This window comes from Homo sapiens, chromosome 14 (genome assembly GCF_000001405.40).
Source record: "Homo sapiens chromosome 14, GRCh38.p14 Primary Assembly".
Lineage (NCBI taxonomy): Eukaryota > Metazoa > Chordata > Mammalia > Primates > Hominidae > Homo > Homo sapiens.
The window spans coordinates 21301560-21321786 of NC_000014.9; the positions used below are offsets into that span (position 1 = coordinate 21301560).

A 20227-nucleotide genomic window follows, 5' to 3' on the forward strand; every position below is an offset into this window, starting at 1 on the left:
CCAGTTATTCGAGAGATTGAGGCAGGAGAATCACTTGAACTCGGGAGGCGGAGGTTGCAGTGAGCTGAGATTGCACCACTGCAGTCCAGCCTGGCGACAGAGCGAGACTCTGTCTCAAAATAATAATAATAATAATAATAATAATAATAATAATAATAATAATAAAAAATTAGCCAAGCCTGGTGGCACATGCCTGCAGTCCCACCTACTTGGGAAGCTGATGTGGGAGGATCGCTTGAGCCTGGGAGGCGGAGGCTGCAGTGAGCCCAGATGGCACCACTGAACTCCAGCCTGGGCAACAGAGTGACACTCTGCCTCAAAAAACAAACAAAACAAAACCCCCAAAAAGAAAACTCAACGTTGAATCTCTAGAGTAGACACCTCATTCTCATGGCCCTAAATCAGGAATGAGTAACCTAGGTAAAGGAAATCTACACACAGCATTTCATTAAGTACTCTTATTTTATTAGTAAGTACTCACTTATTTTGCTTAGTGTGGTCCTATAATTTCAAGTTCCATACTCCAGACAACCAAACGCATGCAAAAACAACTGAAAGTAGAAAACTTGCATGAATTTAAATTTCAGTTCCATTTAACAGTTCAGCATAGCTGGCCACCTGTTATGTACTGGGCACTAGATACAAAGATGGTTAGAGTTAGACACACAGTCTCTGCCCTGGACAAGCTTCCACCTTTCTTTTTTCTTCCTATTTGTACTTACTCACTTGAGGATCTATAGTCTGGCTGACTTTAGTTGCAGTTTTTTGCAAGAGTAAAAAAAAAACTGCTCCTCGGGGACCATTTGTCATACAAGGGTTTCACCCAGGTCTCAAGACTCTATGCCCAGCCCTTCATGTTCCAGTTTCAGTACTTGGTGTTCCGGAGGGTACTGTTGCCCGAGTCTGCATCTTCTGTCTAAACTTTTAGGGCCAAGGGACAGGCTGAGCTACACAGCCCCTCCATCGTTTAAGGAGCATGCGACAAATGAAAACAGAGGTGAAGTAGCCAGTAAACCCAGTGAACTGTGAGTTCTTCTCATTTATCCCATGTTGTTATTCCTGCCACTTTAATTAGAAAGACATCATTTAGGGAACAAATGAATGTTGGTGATTTGAGTCTTTTCAGCATGATCAGGGAAGATGAAAGTCGACCCTAGGTCAAATTCCAACTTCATTGCTTAAAAGTGGAAAACAAGCGTCTCTCTGTTCTCTGAGGAAATGAAAATAAAGGTCCATTTCTCAGTTGAAGGTATTCCCTCTATTTACATTTATATTTTTTTCCTTAGGTCATAATTCCTTTGTTGTGTTTTTTTTTTTTTTTTTTTTTTGAGATGGAGTCTTGCTCTGTTGCCCAGGCTGGAGTGCAGCAGCGTGATCTTGGTTCACTGCAACCCCTGCCTCCCAGGTTCAAGCAATTCTCCTGCCTCAGCCTCCTAAGTAGCTGGGACTACAGGCATGTGCCACCATGCCCAGCTAATTTTTGTATTTTTAGTGGACACAGGGTTTCACTATGTTGGCCAGGCTTGTCTCCAACTCCTGACCTTGTGATCTGCTCGCCTTGGCCTCCCAAAGTGCTGGGATTACAGGTGTGAGCCACCACGCCTGGCCCATAATTCCTTTATGTTTTGTTTGACATTTGAAAGCTGTATTTTATAAGATTTTCCTCGACATGTACCAAGGTTACTGATTCACTTAATTTCTTTTTATATGTGTAAGAACCCAATTCTAAACTCCTGTAACAACAGTTTCTAAGTATCCTTTTTGTATTTAGTGTTTCTGGTTCTAACAGCATAATTTCTTTCAGCAGTGTCATAAGTATGGCTAAACCCATTGGTCTATGCATGCCTAACAGTGCCCACATCATGGCCAGCAATACCATGCAAGTGGAAGAGCCACCCAAGTCTCCTGAGAAAATGTGGCCTAAAGATGAAAATTTTGAACAGAGAAGCTCATTGGAGTGTGCTCAGAAGGCTGCAGAGCTTCGGTAAGAGTGTGGCACTCCATGCCTCAAACCAAAACGAACTGAAAAAGCTAAGAGATTCTTATTTATACCTTTCCTCCATCTCAGAGGAAAAGAGTGTTTGGGATTAAATTCAATCGGAGTAGTAGACACGGAGTCCCTCGTAGGTTAAGAAATGGATTAACCTGCGGGCACCATGGATCACGCCTGTAATCCCAGCACTTTGGGAGGCCGAGGCAGGCCGATCACCTGAGGTCAGGAGTTCGAGACCAGCCTCGCCAACATGGAGAAACCCTGTCTCTACTAAAAATACAAAAATTAGCCAGGCATGGTGGCAGGCACCTGTAAATCCCAGCTACTAGGGAGGCTGAGGCAGGAGAATCACTTGAACCTGGGAGGCAGAGGTTTCAGTGAGCTGAGATAACGCCATTGCACTCTAGCCTGGGCAACAAGAACAAAACTTGGTCTCAAAAAAAAAAAAAGAAAAGAAAAGAAAAGAAATGAATTAACCTTCTGGGCGCAGTGGCTCACGCCTGTAATCCCAGCACTTTAGGAGGCCAAGGCAGGTGGATCACCTGAGATCGGGAGTTCAAGACCAGCCTGGCCAACGTGGTGAAACCCCGTCTGTACTAAAAATACAAAAAAACTAGCCAGGTATGGTGGCCGGTGCCTGTAATCCCAGCTACTCAGGAGGCTGAGGCAGGAAAATCCCTTGAACCTGGGAGGCGGAGGTTGCAGTGAGCCGAGATTGCACCATTGCACTCCAGCCTGGGCAACAAGAGCAAAACTCTGTCAAAAAAAAAAAAAAGAGGAAAGAAGGAAGGAGGGAGGGAGGGAAGGAAGGAAGGAAGGGAGGGAGGAAGGAGAGAGAGAAAGAAAGAAAGAAAGAAAGAAAGAAAGAAAGAAAGAAAGAAAGAAAGAAAGAAATTAACCTAAAGGAGATAAGTTTATGTATAAAAGGATATTTGCTGCCTCACTATATAGAAGGAAAACGACTTCATCCTCATCACCAGATAGGGATTCTTAGCCCTCTCTGTGCATAAATTCCTGGAAAACTTTTTTAAAAATGTATTTTTCAGACAAGTTTTAGTTTTATAGCAAAATTAAGCAGGAAATAGAGTTCCTGTATACCCATTGCCTCCATACACACACAGCCTCCCCAACTATCAGCACCCCGTACCAGAGTGGTGCATTTGTTACAATCAGTGAAACTACATTGACACATCATTATCACCTGACCATCATTTAATAGTTTACATTAGGGTTCATTCTTGGTGTTGTACATTCTTTTTTTTTTTTTGAGATGGAGTCTCGCTCAGTTGCCCAGGCTGGAGGGCAGTGGCGTGATCTCGGCTCACTGCAAGCTCTGCCTCCTGGGTTCATGCCGTTCTCCTGCCTCAGCCTCCTGAGTAGCTGGGACTACAGGCGCCCGCCACCATGCCCGGCTAATTTTTTTGTATTTTTAGTAGAGACGGGGTTTCACCATGTTAGCCAGGATGGTCTCGATCTCCTGACCTCGTAATCCGCCTGTCTCAGCTTCCCAAAGTGCTGGGATTACAGGCGTAAGCCACTGCGCCTGGCCGGTGTTGTACATTCTATGGGTTTTGACAAATGTGTAAGGACATGTATCCATCATTATAGCATCATACAGAATAGCTTTACTCCCCCAAAAGTCCTCTGTGTTCCACCTAGTCATGTCTTTTACCTCCAGTCCTGGCAACCACTGATCTTTTTACTGTCTCCAGTTTTGCCTCTTCTAGAATGTCATATAGTTGGGATTACACAGTATGTGGCCTTTTCAAATTGGCTTCTTTCACTTAGTAATATGCATTTAAGCTTGCTCCATGTCTTTTAAGGTTTGAAAGCTCATTTTTTCAAAACACCAAATAACATTCGATTGTCTACATGTACCAGTTTATTTATCCATTCAGCTACCGAAAGATGTCTTAGTTGCTTCCAAGTTTTGGCAATTATGAATAAAGCTGCTATTAACATTATGTGTCGTTTTTTGTATGGATATAAGTTTTCAACCTGGAGATATTTTAAAACCACAGATCCAGGCCGGGTGCGGTGGCTTATGCCTGTAATCCCAGTACTTTGGGAGGCCAAGGTGGGTGGATCATTTGTGGTCAGGAGATCGAAAACAGCCTGGCCAACATGGTGAATCCCCATCTTTACTGAAAATACCAAAATTAGCCGGGTGTGATGGCTCATGCCTGTAATTCCAGCTACTTGGGAGGCTGAGGCAGGCGAATAGCTTGAACCCGAGAGGCAGGGGTTGCACTGGGCCAAGATTATGCTACTGCACTCCAGCCTGGGCAACAGAGCAAGACTCTGTCTCAAAAACAAAACAAAACAAAACAAAAAAAGACCATAACAGATCCCTGGGCCCCATCTCTGAGATTCCCTTTCAATTATTTGGGGGGTAGAATTCAGGCAGTGTAATTTTAAGATCTCTCCAGGTTATTCTAATCAGCAGCTAGACAGGGAATCAATGAGATAGAGTGGAGTGAACCCAAATCCTCCCCAGTATCTCTTTCAATCTTTCAAACAATAAAGAAAACGTGAGCTCCTAGGTTCAGGAATAATAGTCTTTTTTTTTTTTTTTTTTTTTTTTTTTTTTTTTTTTTGAGACAGAGTCTCACTTTGTTGCCCAGGCTGAAGTGTAGTGGCACCTTGTCAGCTCACTGCAATCTCCATCTTCCGGGTTCAAGCAAATTCTCCTGCCTCAGCCTCCTGAGTAGCTGGGATTACAGGCACCCACCACCACACCTGGCTAATTTTTATATTTTTAGTAGAGAGGGGGTTTCACCATGTTGGCCAGGCTGGTCTCGAACTCCTGACCTCAGGTGATTCGCCTTCCTCGACCTCCCAAAGTGCTGGGATTACAGGCGTGAGCCCCTGCGCCCAGCCTAATCTTCTTTCTATTATTTTATTTTATTTTATTTTTATTTTCCGAGACAGAGACTCACTCTGTCACCCAAGCTGGAGTGCAGTGGCGAGATCTCAGCTCACTGTAATCTCCACCTCCCAGGTTCAAGTGATTCTCCTGCCTCAGCCTCCCGAGTAGCTGGGACTACAGGTGTGCGCCACCATGCCCAGCTAATTTTTGTATTTTTAGTAGAGACGGGGTTTCACCACGTTGGCCAGGATGGTCTTAATCTCTTGACCTCGTGATCCACCCGCCTCAGCCTTCCAAAGTGCTGGGATTATAAGCGTGAGCCACCGTGCCGGGTGTATTTTACTATTATTATTATTATTATCATTATTTTTTGAGACAGTCTCACTCTGTTGTCGCCAGGCTGGAGTGCAGTGGTGCAATCTCGGCTCACTGCAACCTCCCCCTCCCAGGTTCAAGCAATTCTCCTGCTTCAGCCTCCTGAGTAGCTGGGACTACAGGTGCGCACCACCACACCCAGCTAATTTTTGTATTTTTAGTAGAGATGGGGTCTCACTATGTTGGCCAGGATGGTCTCAATCTCTTGACCTCGTGATCTGCCCGCCTCAACTTCCCAAAGTGTTGGGATTACAGGCCTGAGCCACCGCACTCGGCCACTATTGTTATTTTTTGAGACAGAATCTCACTCTGTTGCCTAAGCTGATTTCAGCTCACTGCAACCTCCGCCTCCCGCAGTTCAAGCGATTCTCTTGCCCAGTGTCCATAGCTGGGATGACAGGCTTATGCCACCACACCCATCTGACTTTTGTGTTTTTAGTAAAGACAAGGTTTTGCCATGTTGCCCAGGCTGGTCTCCAACTCCTGACCTCAGGCCATCTGCCCGCCTCAGCCTCCCAAAGTGCTGGGATTATAGGCGTGAGCCACGGTGCCTGGTTCATAATCTTCTTTTTAAGTTTTCTAGCACGTTCAAACCTCACTGGTTTCTCTAAGGAAACGGCTGAGACCTAGCTTGACATTGCAAGGTTTGTGGGAAATTATGAACACCATCATTTAAAAAAGTAGTTATTATCTTTTCTCATAACATAAGCTTAAGGTTAGTGATCTCTATCAAATCTTGGCTGGCGTGATGAGAAATGGGAGAAAGGAGATTATTTACTAGACTGTACATACACCACATACTTGTGTTCTAGTGTGGGTAAGACGGGAAGGCAAGAGACAAGAGGGAGGTATTCTTACTAGGGCATAGTCAAGGAGAAAATGTCTTTAATTCTATCCATGTTCAGACAGAATAATTTAGCGCCTTTCTCTGCAGAGCTTCCATTAAAGAGAAGGTAGAGCTGATTCGACTTAAGAAGCTCTTACATGAAAGAAATGCTTCATTGGTTATGACAAAAGCACAATTAACAGAAGTTCAAGAGGTGAGTTGCCATCATCAGCTGTGCTTTCTTGGTGGGGGGAAACCCCAATTAAGAGATTCATATTATTTTCTCCATTTTAAATATGAGAAGCCACAATTCAGAAAGACAATTTATAAGTGATATCACACAATTTATAAGTGATATTCAAATCCAAGCCTCACAACTCGGAGTCTATGCTTTTCCCAGTATTTCCCATTAGTTCTCTATTAAGAGGAAGGCTCAAGCTCTGCCTGCTAAGGTGAAATAAAGTGGAGTTAACTTGTGTAAGGGTTACGGTCCCCTACGAAGACCACAACCAGAATGTGATTAAATTAGGAAGCCAAAAGCAGTCACAGGGAAGGGAAGGAAACTAGCCTTTTAATTAGCACTTTCTGTGAGCTGTACTCTGTCCCAGATATTTACAGTCATGATCTTTTTTAAGCCTGACAACAGCCCTCAAGGTAAGTATATTTAGCATTAGCACACATTAGAAACTAACATCTGATTGGTGGAAATAGAGTATCAAGGGTCAAAGTAAGGTCAGCACCATCCTTTTATTGAACAAATATTTATCCAGTACCAGGAATTGCAAAGCACTGGGATACAAAGATTCCAAGGGTAAGTAAGAAAAAACTGCCTTCAAGGAGTTTATAGGAGTGAGAAAACAAGTAAACAAATTCAACTATCCTATGCAGGGTATGGGCAGGACACAAAAGAGAGAGTAGTCAGACCCACCAGTGGGTGAGGTGCTGATATGGCTGATAAGTGGAGGAACACCAGGGCTCTTGTCTCACGCGAATTAGATAAAACGACACGGACACAGGTGGAGCGGCTTTAAGGAGCGGAGAGTTTAATAGGCAAGAAACAAGGGAGAAGAAAGACGGAAGAAGCTCCCCTGTACTGAGACAGAGGGAGAAGGACTCCAAAGCAGAGAGGGGAGACCTCATGTGCCGGGAAAAGTGGCTGCTTATATGAGTAGGCAGGAGGAGGTAGTGTCTGATTTGCATAGGGCTCAGGGGATTGGTTTGACCAGGCATGTCACTCATGTAGCCTGTGGAAAAAACTGGCCCTCCTACCCTAGTCTTTTAATATGCAAATGAAGGGCGCCATGATGTTCTACACACGTGGGGATATGTGGGGGTGGCCATGTTGCCAGGTACAGGTCGGGGAAAGGACAGGAAGACAAGGGCGGGAATCGCCATGTTTGGGTGGACCCAGTTTCTAAAGACCTGTATTTGCATATCAAAGGTTGCCTTCCCGGCTGTAAGAGCCAGGGCTTTCCTGCTAGACAAAAAACGTTTCTGGAGCTGCTTTAAAGGACGAGAAAACTTTCCAAGGACCCCTTTTCCTCTCTATCTGCCTAAAATTATTTTTAATAACTCCTTTAACAGTGCCAGATCAGAAAAGGATTAATGACTGGGTGCGGTGGCTGGAGCCTGTAATCCCAGCACTTTGGGAGGTCAAGGAGGGAGGATCACTTGAGCTCAGGAATTCGAGACCAGCCCAGACAACATGGCGAAACCCCATCTCTATCAAAAATAGAAAAATTAGACAGGCATCGTGATGTGTGCCTGTAGTCCTAGCTACTATGGAGGCTGAGGCAGGAGGATTGCTTGAGTGCTTGAGCCCAGGAGGCAGAGGTTGCAGTGAGCCGAGATCCCGATACGGCACCTCAGCGTGAGACTTTGTCTCAAAAAAAGAAAAAAGAAAAGGATTAATAAAGGAATAGATTTGTGAGTTAAATACTGAAATACTAAAAGATTAGCTTGTGTTAATAAGTGTGTAAGAGAAGAGGGGGCTTTCCATGAGAGCAGAGGTGAGAAACATCAGGTCTGGTCATGAAGGACACACTAAGAATTTTTTTTCTCGTTGTCATTAAAGACAGAACATGCTAGGAATTTAGACTTTATCCTACAAACAGCAGAGAGCTATGTGAAAGGGTTTTAAGCAAGTTGATATGATCAATTTTTTTCTCTCTCAAGATTATTTGACCTTTTTTAAAAAATAAAAAATAAATTTAAAAAAAAAGTTTGGGAGGCTGAGGTGGGTGGATCGCTTGAGGTCAGGAGTTTGAGACCAGCCTGGCCAACATGGTGAAACCCCGTCTCTACTAAAATACAAAAATTAGGTGTGGTGGGGGGCACCTGTAATCTCAGCTACTTGGGAGGTTGAGGAAGGAGAATTGCTTGAACCTGGGAAGCCGAGGTTGCAGTGAGCCAAGATTGTGCCGCAGCACTCCAGCCTGGGCAACAGAGTGAGACTGTCTCAAAAACAAAAACGAAAACTTACCTCTCATATTTGCTACAAGGATTAAATGAGATAATATGTGTGAAATGATTATAATGATCATGATGTGGCAGGTAATGAAACACATAGTAACACATAGCAACTACTCAACTAATTATAGCTGTTGTTATGATCATTCTTTTTTTTTTACTAAAACTGAAGAGATCTTTCTGAAGTGTGCTAAGTAACAGTACCTAATTTAAGATTAAACATTTTTCTTGGATAATCCACCAAGTACAATGCAAATGTTAATAAATGACCCTTCATTCTTTTTTGAGAAATGGTGTGAATGATTGCAGTCACAGACTACTTGGCAAGCTAGGGCAGGGGAAAAATAGCAACAATTAGTAAACAAGTACACAAATTGATTTGTTTTGTGGGATTTTTATAATGTCTTTAAAAATGTTAAGCATTATATTACAGTGATAAATATATCATGAAATTGATAAATCAATAAAATAATAATAATTTCTTTCTTCCAGGCATACGAAACCTTGCTCCAGAAGGTACTTAATGAGAATTGAGTCTCTGTTTCTTAGTAACCAGAATAATCAAACCCAAAGAAATCTATGTTCATCTCCAAGTAACATAACACCAGAATTTAGCTAACTAAATCAATGTTATTATGTCATATAGTTTCTGTTAAAAATGATACTATTATGATTATCAAAAGATACAGATACTTATTGCACTGTTTTCATAAAAATTGAAATATGAAATTGTAGTTGAGAAATATTTGGCATGGTATTTTTAAGCCTATTGCTGGAGCAAATTATAGCATTTGCTCAAAACTTCCTAAGAGTATTCTTCTAGCATGTGTGAGGTGATGAGATATAACAAAGTTGTTGCAGGTATTCTCAGATGGTCTTAAATATTTGGCCCTATTCACCACTGTGAGTGGGCTGCATGTGAAGCTAGGTGAATGTCTGTGCTTAAGAATCACCACTAAGACAGAGTTCCAAACGAGACCACCCAGCTGTGCCTCACCAGAGGAGTCCGCCAGAAACACACACAGAACTTCTGGAGTTAACATGTCACTTGTCTAGGTACAAACGTAGTCATCATAAAAAAGCAGTCAAATAGCTTAGAAAGTGAAGGCAGCTTTGGAAGGTGGCAACTAATTTAAAGCTAGGGATTAATTTGAACCTTGAGAAAATTAAGGCTCAAGGGCCAGGCGCGGTGGCTCACGCCTGTAATCCCAGCACTTGGGGAGGCGGAGGCGGGTGGATGACCTAAGGTCAGGAGTTCGAGACCAGCCTGGCCAACATGGAGAAACCCTGTCTCTATTAAAAATACAAAAATTAGCTGGGCGTGGTGGCTCATGCCTGTAATCCCAGCTACTCAGGAGGCTGAGGCAGGAGAATTGCTTGAACCCGGTAGGCAGAGGTTGCAGTGAGCCAAGCACTATTGCACTCCAGCCTGGGCAACAGAGCGAGACTGTCTCAATAAATAAATAAATAAATAAATACAAGAAAAGAAAATTAAAGCTCAAATGATGAACTACAATTGCCCAGAATGGAAACCCTACCTACCAGGGAAATTATACTTCCAGAGAAATGCTAGGGTGAAAAACAAGGTTAACGAACAGTACAAAGGTAATAAGCTATTAATCAAAGTCATTCTTTGTGACATCTGTTAGAGAATGCTAGGGTTGCTGGTGTCTGGAGACCACTCGTGCTGAGTGATATGACCATTCCCAGAGGTACTTTCCTTTTGACCCAGAATCAGGGAATCCTGAGTGCAGCCCATGAGGCCCTCCTCAAGCAAGTGAATGAGCTCAGGGCAGAGCTGAAGGAAGAAAGCAAGAAGGCTGTGAGCTTGAAGAGCCAACTGGAAGATGTGTCTATCTTGCAGATGACTCTGAAGGAGGTAAATAATAATAGTTGAAAGATACCATCTACATTTCAACTTCAGGGATGTTAGAATGTGTATCTTAGCAACAATATGAGTATTGCATTTTTTCAAATGACAAAAACGAAGCTCCGAGTAGTTAAATCATTTGCTTAAGATTACACCATTAGAGGGAAAGCTTGGATTTGTACTTATGTCTGTTTTTCAAAGTCCTTGCTCTTTCATAATGTTTTGCTGCTTCCCTAGCAGTAGAAACCCAGAAACAGTGAAGACTTATTTTGGAAAATCCTCATTAATCCCAATACAAGTTTCTAGCCGACCTTCAATTGGTTCAAGTCTTTCTAGTTGGATGGCTTCTCAGACACTGGAGATGGTGATAGAAAGCCTCTCACCCACGCCCCTCCCTGCCATGGACAGGGGAAATCCTGTGCAGGGGAATAGATTTTAACATTTTATCTCAAGGGCTACTATCACTCTTAGTTTCAGGAGAGAGTTGAAGATTTGGAAAAAGAACGAAAATTGCTGAATGACAATTATGACAAACTCTTAGAAAGGTGAGTACCACATTTGGGTCCCAGAGCAGTGTTACTATGAAAGACATTATAGAAAGTTCATTCCTAATACCTAGCATTAATAAATATATGGGGAAATTGGTACTCAATATTGTTAGTGAGAATATTAATCGGCAGTCTTTTGGAAGGGAATTTGACACTATTAAAATGTTAAATGTGCATATCCTCTTTTTTTTTTTTTTGAGATGGAGTCTCGCTCTGCTGCCCAGGCTGGAGTGCAGTGGTGCGATCTTGGCTCACTGCAACCTCTACCTCCCGGGTTCAAACGATTCTCCTGACTCTTCTTCCTTTTTATTTTTTTAACCAGCAATTCCTTTTTTCTTTTTTTGAGATGTAGTTTCTCTCTGTCACCCAGGCTGGAAAACAGTGGCATTCTAGGCTTACTGCAGCCCCAGTCTCCCAGGCTCAAGCAATCCTCCCACCTCAGCCTCCCCAGTAGCTGGGACTACAGGTGTGCACTGCCACACCTGGCTAATTTTTTTCTATTTTTTTGTAGAGACAGGGTTTTGTCAGGTTGCCCAGGCTGGTCTCAAACTCCTGGGCTCAAGTCATCTGCCTGCATCAGCCTCCTAAAATGCTGGGATTACAGGCACGAGCCACCATGTCTGGCCCCCAAATTTTTTGGGGGGCTGGGGGGAATCAAAATGAAAAAATTCTCTTGTGTATGTGCAAATATATGTATATAATAAGAATGTTGCTGGGTGCAGCAGCTCACACCTGTAATCCTAACACTTAGGGAGGCAGAGGTGGGAGGATAACTTGCGCCTAGAAGTTCGAGACCTGTCTGGGCAATATAGTGAGACCCTGTTCTCCACAAAAAGAAAAAAAAAAAAAAGAATGTGAATTACTGCCCTGATAGTAATAGCAAAAAAACAAAAACAAATAAACAAATAAAAAGGAAACCACTGATAAGAGATTGATCACATAAAGCATGTTGCATCCTCACAATGAAGTGCTATGCAGCTGTTAAAAATGAGATAGATGGCCAGGCGCGGCGGCTCATGCCTGTCATCCCAGCACTTTGGGATGCCGAGGCGGCCAGATCACGAGGTCAGGAGTTAGAGACCAGCCTGACCAACATGATGAAGCCCTGTGTCTACTAAAAATACAAAAATTAGCCAGGCACAGTAGCGCGCACTTGTAATCCCAGCTACTCAGACAGCTGAGGCAGGAGAATCGCTTGAACCCGGGAGGCGGAGGTTGCAGTGAGCTGAGATTGCGCCACTGGACTTCAGCCTGGGTGGCACAGCAAGACTTCCTCTGAAAAAAAAAAAAAAGATACATTGTAAAAAGAAAAAGCAAGCTGAAAATGAATATGTTAACTCTGACATGGTTTATGTTATGTATCTTTATGGTTCCACAAACCTTTGATGAGATAAGAGGATTAGAATAAGGCAAAGGGGCACCTTCACTTTTATTCTTTTTTTTTTTTTTTTCTCTTGAGATGGGGTTTCACTCTGTTACCCAGGCTGTAGTACAGTGGTGTCATCTCAGCTCACTGCAACCTCCACCTCTCAGGCTCAAGCAATCTTCCCACCTCAGCCTCCCAAGGAGCTGGGACCACAGGTGCACACCACCATGCCTGGCTAATTTTTGTATTTTTTGTAGAGATGGTGTTTTGCCATGTTGCCCAGGCTGGTCTTGAACTCCCAGGCTCAAGTGATTTTTCCACCTCAGCCTCCCGAGTAGCTGGGACCACAGCCACACGCCACCACACCCGGCTAATAGTTTCTATATTGTGCAGAGACAGGGTTTCGCCAGATTGCCCAGGCTGGTCTCAAACTCCTGGGCTCAAGTGATCTGCCTGCCTTGGTCTCCCAAAGTGTTGGGATTACAGGCATGAGCCACCGACCCTGGGCTATTCTATATGCTGATGTATTATTCTAATTTTTCACAATGAGCATGTATTCATGCATTAATTTTATAATTAAAAAGAACTGGAAGTGGCCTGGCATGGTGGCTCATTCCTGTAATCCCAGCACTTTGGGAGGCTGAGGCAGGAGGATCGCTGGAGCTCAGGAGTTCACGACCAGCCTGGGCAACATGATGAAACCCCTTCTCCACAAATTATTTTAAAAATTAGCCAGCCAGGCGCGGAGAATCACTTGAACCCAGGAGGCAGAGGTTGGGGTGAGCTGAGATCAGGCCATTACACTCCAGCCTGGGCAACAAGAGCAAAACTCTGTCTCGAAAAAAAAAAAAAAAATAGCCGGGCAGCTGGGCGCAGTGGCTCATGCCTGTACTTCTAGCACTTTGAGAGGCCAAGGCAGGCAGATTGCCTGAGCACAGGAGTGTGAGACCAGCCTGAGCAACATTGCAAAACACTGTCTCTACTAAAAATACAAAAAATTAGCTGGGCGTGGTGGCAGGGGCCTGTAATCCCAGATACTTGGGAGGCTGAGGCAGGGCGAATTGCTTGGACCCGGGAGGTGGAGGTTGCAGTGAGCTGAGATTGCACCACTGCACTCCAGCCTGAGCAACAGAGCAAGACTCTGTCTCAAAAAAAAAATTTGGCTGGGCATGGTGGCGTGCATCTGTATTCCCAGATACTCAGAAGGCTGAGGCAGGAGGATTGTTTGAGCCTAGGAGGTCAAGGTTGCATTGAGCCATGTGCAGTGCAGTGCAGTGAGAAAGTGAGACTCTCAAACAAAAAAAAAACCTGTAAGTAAAAGAAAAAAGTTTTTAAAACTTAAAAGTGCCAGGCTGTGCGCGGTGGCTCATGCCTGTAATCCCAGCACTTTGGGAGGCCGAGGTGGGTGGATCACGAGGTCAGGAGATCGAGACCATCCTGGCTAACACGGTGAAACCCCGTCTCTACTAAAAATACAAAAAATTAGCCAGGCGTGGTGGCAGGTGCCTGTAGTCCCAGCTACTCGGGAGGCTGAGGCAGGACAATGTCGTGAATCCGGGAGGCGGAGCTTGCAGTGAGCCGAGATCGCGCCACTGCACTCCAGCCTGGGCGACAGAGCCAGACTCCGTCTCAAAAAAAAAAAAAACAAAAAACTTAAAAGTACCTTTGATCTAGTAAAAGGCAGCAGGGGGTAGATTGAGGAGGTCTTACGGGAGCATCTGGGAACAACTGATGTTCTTCAGCTCAGTGAAATAAAGCAGTGTGGGGAGTATCCACTTCGATAGACATTACTCTGTGATAGACATTACTATTTGCCTCTCCCCTTCATCACTCAAAATACTATTTTCTTGAGTCCTTACATGATATATGGTCAGGCAATGCCAAGAAATGTTAATACTTGCCTAAGTAGGTTATTATTATTATTATTATTATTTTTTTTTTGAGGCAGAGTCTCACTCTGTTGCCCAGGGTAGAGTGCACTGGTGTGATCTTGGCTCACTGCAACCTCTGCCTCCTAGGTTCAAGTGATTCTCCTTCCTCAGCCTCCCAAGTAGCCGTGACCACAGGTGTGTGCCACCATGCCTGGCTAATTTTTGTGGTTTTTTTTTTTTTTTTTTTGAGACAAAGTCTCACTCTGTTGCCCAGGCTGAGAGTGCAGTGGCGCAGTCTCGGCTCACTGCAACCCCTGCCTCCCGATGTTTAAGCTATTCTTCTGCCTCAGCCTCCTGAGTAGCTGGGATTATAGGTGCCGGCCACCACACCTGGTTAATTTTTTGTATTTTTAGTAGAGACGGGGTTTCACCATGTTGGGCAGGCTGATCACCAACTCCTGACCTCGAGATCTGCCTGCCTCAGCCTCCCAAAGCACTGGAATTACAGGTGTGAGCCACCGCGCCCAGCCAATTTTTGTATTTTTAATGGAGATGGGGTTTCACCATGTTGGCCAGGCTGGCCTCGAACCCCTGACCTCAGATAATCTGCCCACCTTGACCTCCCAAAGTGCTGGGATTACAGGTGGGAACCATCCAGCCTGGCCGGTAAGTTATTTATTTATTTCTTGAGACGGAATCTCACACTGTTACCTGGGCTGGTGTGCAGTGGCACGATCTCAGCTCGCTGCAGTGTCCGCCTGCTGGGTTCAAGCAATTCTCCAGCCTCAGCCTCCCAAGTAGCTAGGATTACAGGCACCTGCCACCACACCCAGCTAACTTTTTGTATTTTCAGTAGAGACAGGGTTTCACTATGTTGGCCAGGCTGGTCTCGAAGTCCTGACCTCATGATCTGCCCTCCTCGGCCTCCCAAAGTGTTGCGATTGCAGGCGTGAGCCACTGTGCCCAGCCTGGTAAATTATTTTTAAACCACATTTACTAAAATGATAAATAAGAAATAAGACATAAAAAGAAATAATTGTTTGATTATTAGTGTCATTTCATTTGTATGAATGACCAAGAACTAGCCATGTGGCTGGGCATGGTGGCTCACACCTATAATCCCAACACTTTGGGAGGCCGAGGCAGGTGGATCACCTGAGGTCAGGAGTTCAAGACCAGCACAGCCAACATTGTAAAACCCCGTCTCTATTAAAAATACAAAAATTAGCTGGGCCTGGTGGTGGGTTACTTTAATCCCAGCTACTCAGGAGGCTGAGGCAGGAGAATCGCTTGAACCTGGGAGGCAGAGGTTGCAGTGAGCCAAGATTGCACCCCTGCACTCCAACCTGGGTGACAGCTCGAGATTCTGTCTCAAAAAAAAAAGAAAAAAGAAAAAAAAAGGAACCAGCCATGTGTATTTTATACTCAAAATGGGTCTGCTCTGACAGCTTGATACAATAGGGTGGAGGATACAGTTGTTGAAAAGTTTAATTCCCGCCCTTCAGCATAGTAATTTATAATCTAGGTCAAAGACAAATATTCTCTAAACTCACCGTTGGTGAAGGTAGATGGAGGCATGGGGTTTGAGAAAAGGAAGATTTTGTTCCTCATTTCTAATCCGGCAGGCCTGAGAAGGTCTTGATACATAGTTCCCTGACTAAAGAAAGCCATCATGGTGGAGAAGTTCCTTGGGAAATGGATATGACTTGGGGTGTTTGCTCAGTCAGATATCTGAGACCTAAACAGAAATGGTACTGAGCAATAACTCAGTAGGACTCAAAAGTTCCAAGGCAGTTGGTAAATGACAGTTATGAATAAAGCAAGGGCAGAAAAAAACATGTAGGGGAGAGAATGAGGAACTAGGTCCAGGAGATGCTGAAACTGGATAATAAAGACGTCATATCACACCCCTTGGGGTATCCATCTGAGAGCTTGCTTTCCATTGCCAGCATGCTGGACAGCAGTGACAGCTCCAGTCAGCCCCACTGGAGCAACGAGCTCATAGCGGAACAGCTACAGCAGCAAGTCTCTCAGCTGCAGGATCAGCTGGATGCTGAGCTGGAGGACAAGAGAAAAGTTTTACTTGAGCTGTCCAGGGAGAAAGGTAGGCTGGACCTTGAAGAGCTCTCTCAAATGTGGCATCCTCTACCTCTGGTTTGGGAGAAGATAACTTGAGCCATCATTTCTTTAATCCCCTCACTTGATCCTATTCTTTTGTGGGTTGTAGGTAACTAGAATGAGAACACTAGCAATAGATCAGATCTACAATCAGGAAAACATGACACTTACCTACCTCTCATGTATACTTTTTCCTATATAATGTCTTTCCATTTGAGAAGATGCTAGTTTTTGTTTGTTTGTTTGTTTGTTTGTTTTTGAGGTGGAGTTTCGCTCTTGTTGCTCAGGCTCGAGTGCAATGGCACGATTTCAGCTCACTGCAACCTTCACCTCCCAGGTACAAGCGATTCTCCTATCTCAGCCTCCCAAGTAGCTCGGATTACAAGCATGCACTACCACGCCTGGCTATTTTTTTTTTTTTGTATTTAGTAGAGATGGGGTTTTACCATGTTAGTTAGGCTGGTCGTGAACTCCTGACCTCAGATGATCCACCAGCCTCAGCTTCCCAAAGTGCTGGGATTACAGGCGTGCGCCACTGTGCCCGACCTGCCAGTTTTTAATTTATTATGTTTTTTAAACGTTCAGTTTATTGAAAGTTTTCTTTTGTTTGGTTTGGTTTGGTTTTGTTTCTGAGAGAGTCTCACTCTGTCACCCAGGCTGGAGTACAGTGATGCGATCTGGGCTCACTTCAACCTCTGCCTCCCAGGTTCAAGAGATTCTCCTGCCTCAGCCTCCCGAGTTGCTGGGATTGCAGGTGCCCACCACCACACCCAACTAATTTTTTGTATATTTTAGTAGAGACGAGGGTTCACTATGTTGGCCAGGCTGGTCTGAAACTAACCTCAAGTGATCCACCCGCCTCAGCCTCCCAAAGTGCTGGGATTACAGGTGAAAGCCACTACACCTGGCTGAAAGTATTGAAAGTGAATTTCTTTGTCTTTTATCCTTCTCATCATTTTAGAGGTAACTGGAATACTTTTTTTTTTTTTTGCCATCCAATTCTTGAAATTGAGTAGCAAATTACTATTCTTGGTTACCACTGCCAGTTCACCCCCGTCTTAACTCTTGGATCTCAGGAGATAGGTATTTGGAACATTTTTAAATACTGTCAAAAAGACCTTCATCTTACTACTTTTTCCTAGCCTGGACCTTAATATTTAGTTTTATCAAATTTATATCTCATCAAGTTTTAGTGTATTCAAATAGGGAACGGAAGGAAAAGAAATGTGTGAAATCAAGAAAAATAGAGGCAAGAACCATGTTTAGGAGCACATGCCAATTAGTATGTTTGAAGCACAAATGAAGTCTTGTAAGGACCTTCAGGGCAATCTAATTTAATCCCTTCTCTAATGCATGATGGAAATGATCTGCTCACTAAACACCGATTACCTTTATTCCCTGAAAAACACACACACAGCCTGGTGTGGTGGCTCATGCCTGTAATCCCAGCACATTGGGAGGCCGAGGCCAGCAGATCACATGAGGCCAGGAGTTTCAGACCAGCCTGGCCAACATGGTGAAACCCCATCTTTACTAAAAACACGAAAATTAGCCAGTCGTAGTGTCGTGCGCCTGTAATACCAGCTACTCAGGAGGCTGAGGCACAAGAATCGTTGAACCCTGGAGGCATAGGTTGCAGGGAGCCAAGATCGCACCACTGCACTCCATCCTGAGTGATGGAGTAAGACTGTCTAAAGAGAAAAACACACACACACACATTGGAACACAGAAATGCCCATCCTCCATCCAGGCCAGGGTGGGTGTGAAGATGGGTGCCACAGAGAGCTAGTAACCTAGAAGTCAGAATGGAGTGGGGGTGGAGTTGGTGAGATACTGGTTTCGATGCTGCTGTCAAAAAGTTTGGATTACCCTAGTCAAGTGATTCCCTTTCTGTTTTGTGTTGTTATTGTTATTCCACTTTCCACTCTACCATTCTGCAGGTGTCTTTTGTTTTCGGAGTGCAAGTAGTATCACCTCAGTTTACTGAGTCAATAAGCTAGAGTCCTCCTCTGTAGAAATAATAGAGAATTGCTTCTCAAATTTATAACATTAATTAAACCTTAGTGGGAAGATTAAATTCACACTTGATCCAACTCTGACCATGGTGATAAATAACTACAGAATTTCACATTTCTGGATTATTTTTCCCCAGCCCAAAATGAGGATCTGAAGCTTGAAGTCACCAACATACTTCAGAAGCATAAACAGGAAGTAGAGCTCCTCCAAAATGCAGCCACAATTTCCCAACCTCCTGACAGGCAATCTGAACCAGCCACTCACCCAGCTGTATTGCAAGAGAACACTCAGATCGAGGTAAGAGCCTCTTTAAACAAACTAGTCCACTCTGCAGAGAGATCTCTGGCAAATATCTCTAGGGAAGATGATGAGATTAGAAAACTAACTAAATAATATTTTGTCCTGACTGAGGACACTCTTTTTTTTTTTGAGACAGAGTCTCGCTGTCGCCCAGGCTGGAGTGCAGTGGCGCGATCTCGGCTCACTGCAGGCTCCGCCCCCTGGGGTTCACGCCGTTCTCCTGCCTCAGCCTTCCGAGTAGCTGGGACTACAGGCACCCGCCACCTCGCCCGGTTAATTTTTTTGTATTTTTAGTAGAGACGGGGTTTCACCGTGTTAGCCAGGATGGTCTCGATCTCCTGACCTCGTGATCCGCCCACCTCGGCCTCCCAAAGTGCTGGGATTACAGGCGTAAGCCACCGCGCCCGGCCCACTCTTTTTTTTTTTTTTTTTTTTTGAGATGGAGTTTTGCTCTTGTTTCCCAGGCTGGAGTGCAATGGCGCGATCTCGGCTCACTACAGTCTTTGCCTCCCAGGTTTAAGCAATTCTCCTTCCTCAGCCTCCCGAGTAGCTGGGATTACAGGTGCTTGCCACCACAGCCGGCTAATTTTTTGTATTTTTAGTAGAGACAGGGTTTCGCCATTTTGGCCAGGCTGGTCTCGAACTCCTGACCTCTGGTGATCCGCCCAACTCAGCCTCCCAAAGTGCTGGGATTACAGGCACGTGCCACTGTGCCCTGCTTGAGGACACTTTTTGGAAAACTGTGAGAAGGCAGAGCGTAGAGAACTTCATGAGCTCCACCCATTTCTTCCACTCTTTGCAGCTCATAAAATTTAGAATCTTTTTCAGATGAGGACTTGAAAAGATCTGTGGAAGAGCAAACAGCCATTAGTGGCTGTATCATCTCCCTTCACTGCTGCTACTGAACATGAGAACTAGGGGAAAGAGCACTTGTGAAGTCATACAGGTCCTTGTTTACATTTTGGAGTAGTTTCTGCTGCTGGCATTTTACTACTACCAACAACTGTTTTATGGAGAATCATTATTACTTTACCTGTCATATTTATACTCCCTTTTACCAATGCGTTTCCCTCTACAGCCAAGTGAACCCAAAAACCAAGAAGAAAAGAAACTGTCCCAGGTGCTAAATGAGTTGCAAGTATCACACGCAGAGACCACATTGGAACTAGAAAAGACCAGGGACATGCTTATTCTGCAGCGCAAAATCAACGTGTGTTATCAGGTGCAAGGAAAGATGGTACAGGAAGGGGATGGATAACAGGAACGTGGGAACCACTCACAGGACTGGGAATGAAGCAAGACCTAAGTTTCCAGGGCTGATACCAGGTGATGTGCTATCCTGAGCAAACACACAATGGCTGTCCTTTGAAGAACTTGAGGACTCACACATGCCCACGGCACCTTGGCACTAGGAGCCAGTGATGGGGCCAGCCCATGCCAATGGCAAGCGTAAGGCTTCTGGGTTCAAATTTTGCCAGTCCTAGGAACCACCCTACCTCAATGATAGCACAACTAGTCTTGGAGGGGTCTGCAAGGAAATCAAACCTTCTTCTAGTGGGTGAACCTGCCCAGCTAAGGATAGCAGTCTTCTTGACCTAGCCAGTGC

At 44.4% G+C, this 20227-nt stretch overlaps 1 protein-coding gene across 18 annotated transcripts in view, besides 2 other annotated features; it reads left to right on the forward strand.

The window, feature by feature from the left end:
- The window catches only part of RPGRIP1 (RPGR interacting protein 1), a 71219-nt gene that overhangs the window by 21477 nt on the left and 29515 nt on the right, over positions 1-20227 (forward strand). For 15 of the 18 annotated variants that reach the window (XM_005267879.2, NM_001377948.1, XM_011536978.1 and 12 more), the window contains exons 1-3: positions 15994-16291; positions 18458-18618; positions 19700-19843. In XM_005267879.2, coding sequence (XP_005267936.1) covers positions 16060-16291; positions 18458-18618; positions 19700-19843 — 537 coding nt within the window. In that variant the 5' untranslated portion in view covers positions 15994-16059. The other 3 variants (NM_020366.4, NM_001377951.1, XM_005267881.3) reach the window with 3 other exon arrangements.
- Positions 7325-7852: an enhancer, noted in NCBI's record as "OCT4-NANOG-H3K27ac hESC enhancer chr14:21777043-21777570 (GRCh37/hg19 assembly coordinates)". NCBI's record gives its function as "activates a minimal SCP1, AML or CMV promoter by ChIP-STARR-seq in naive H9 embryonic stem cells {active_cell/tissue: H9 hESC(naive)}" and the evidence as "EXISTENCE:reporter gene assay evidence [ECO:0000049][PMID:30033119]".
- Positions 7675-7834: an enhancer, noted in NCBI's record as "active region_8101". NCBI's record gives its function as "activates an Ori minimal core promoter by ATAC-STARR-seq in GM12878 lymphoblastoid cells {active_cell/tissue: GM12878}" and the evidence as "EXISTENCE:reporter gene assay evidence [ECO:0000049][PMID:35858748]".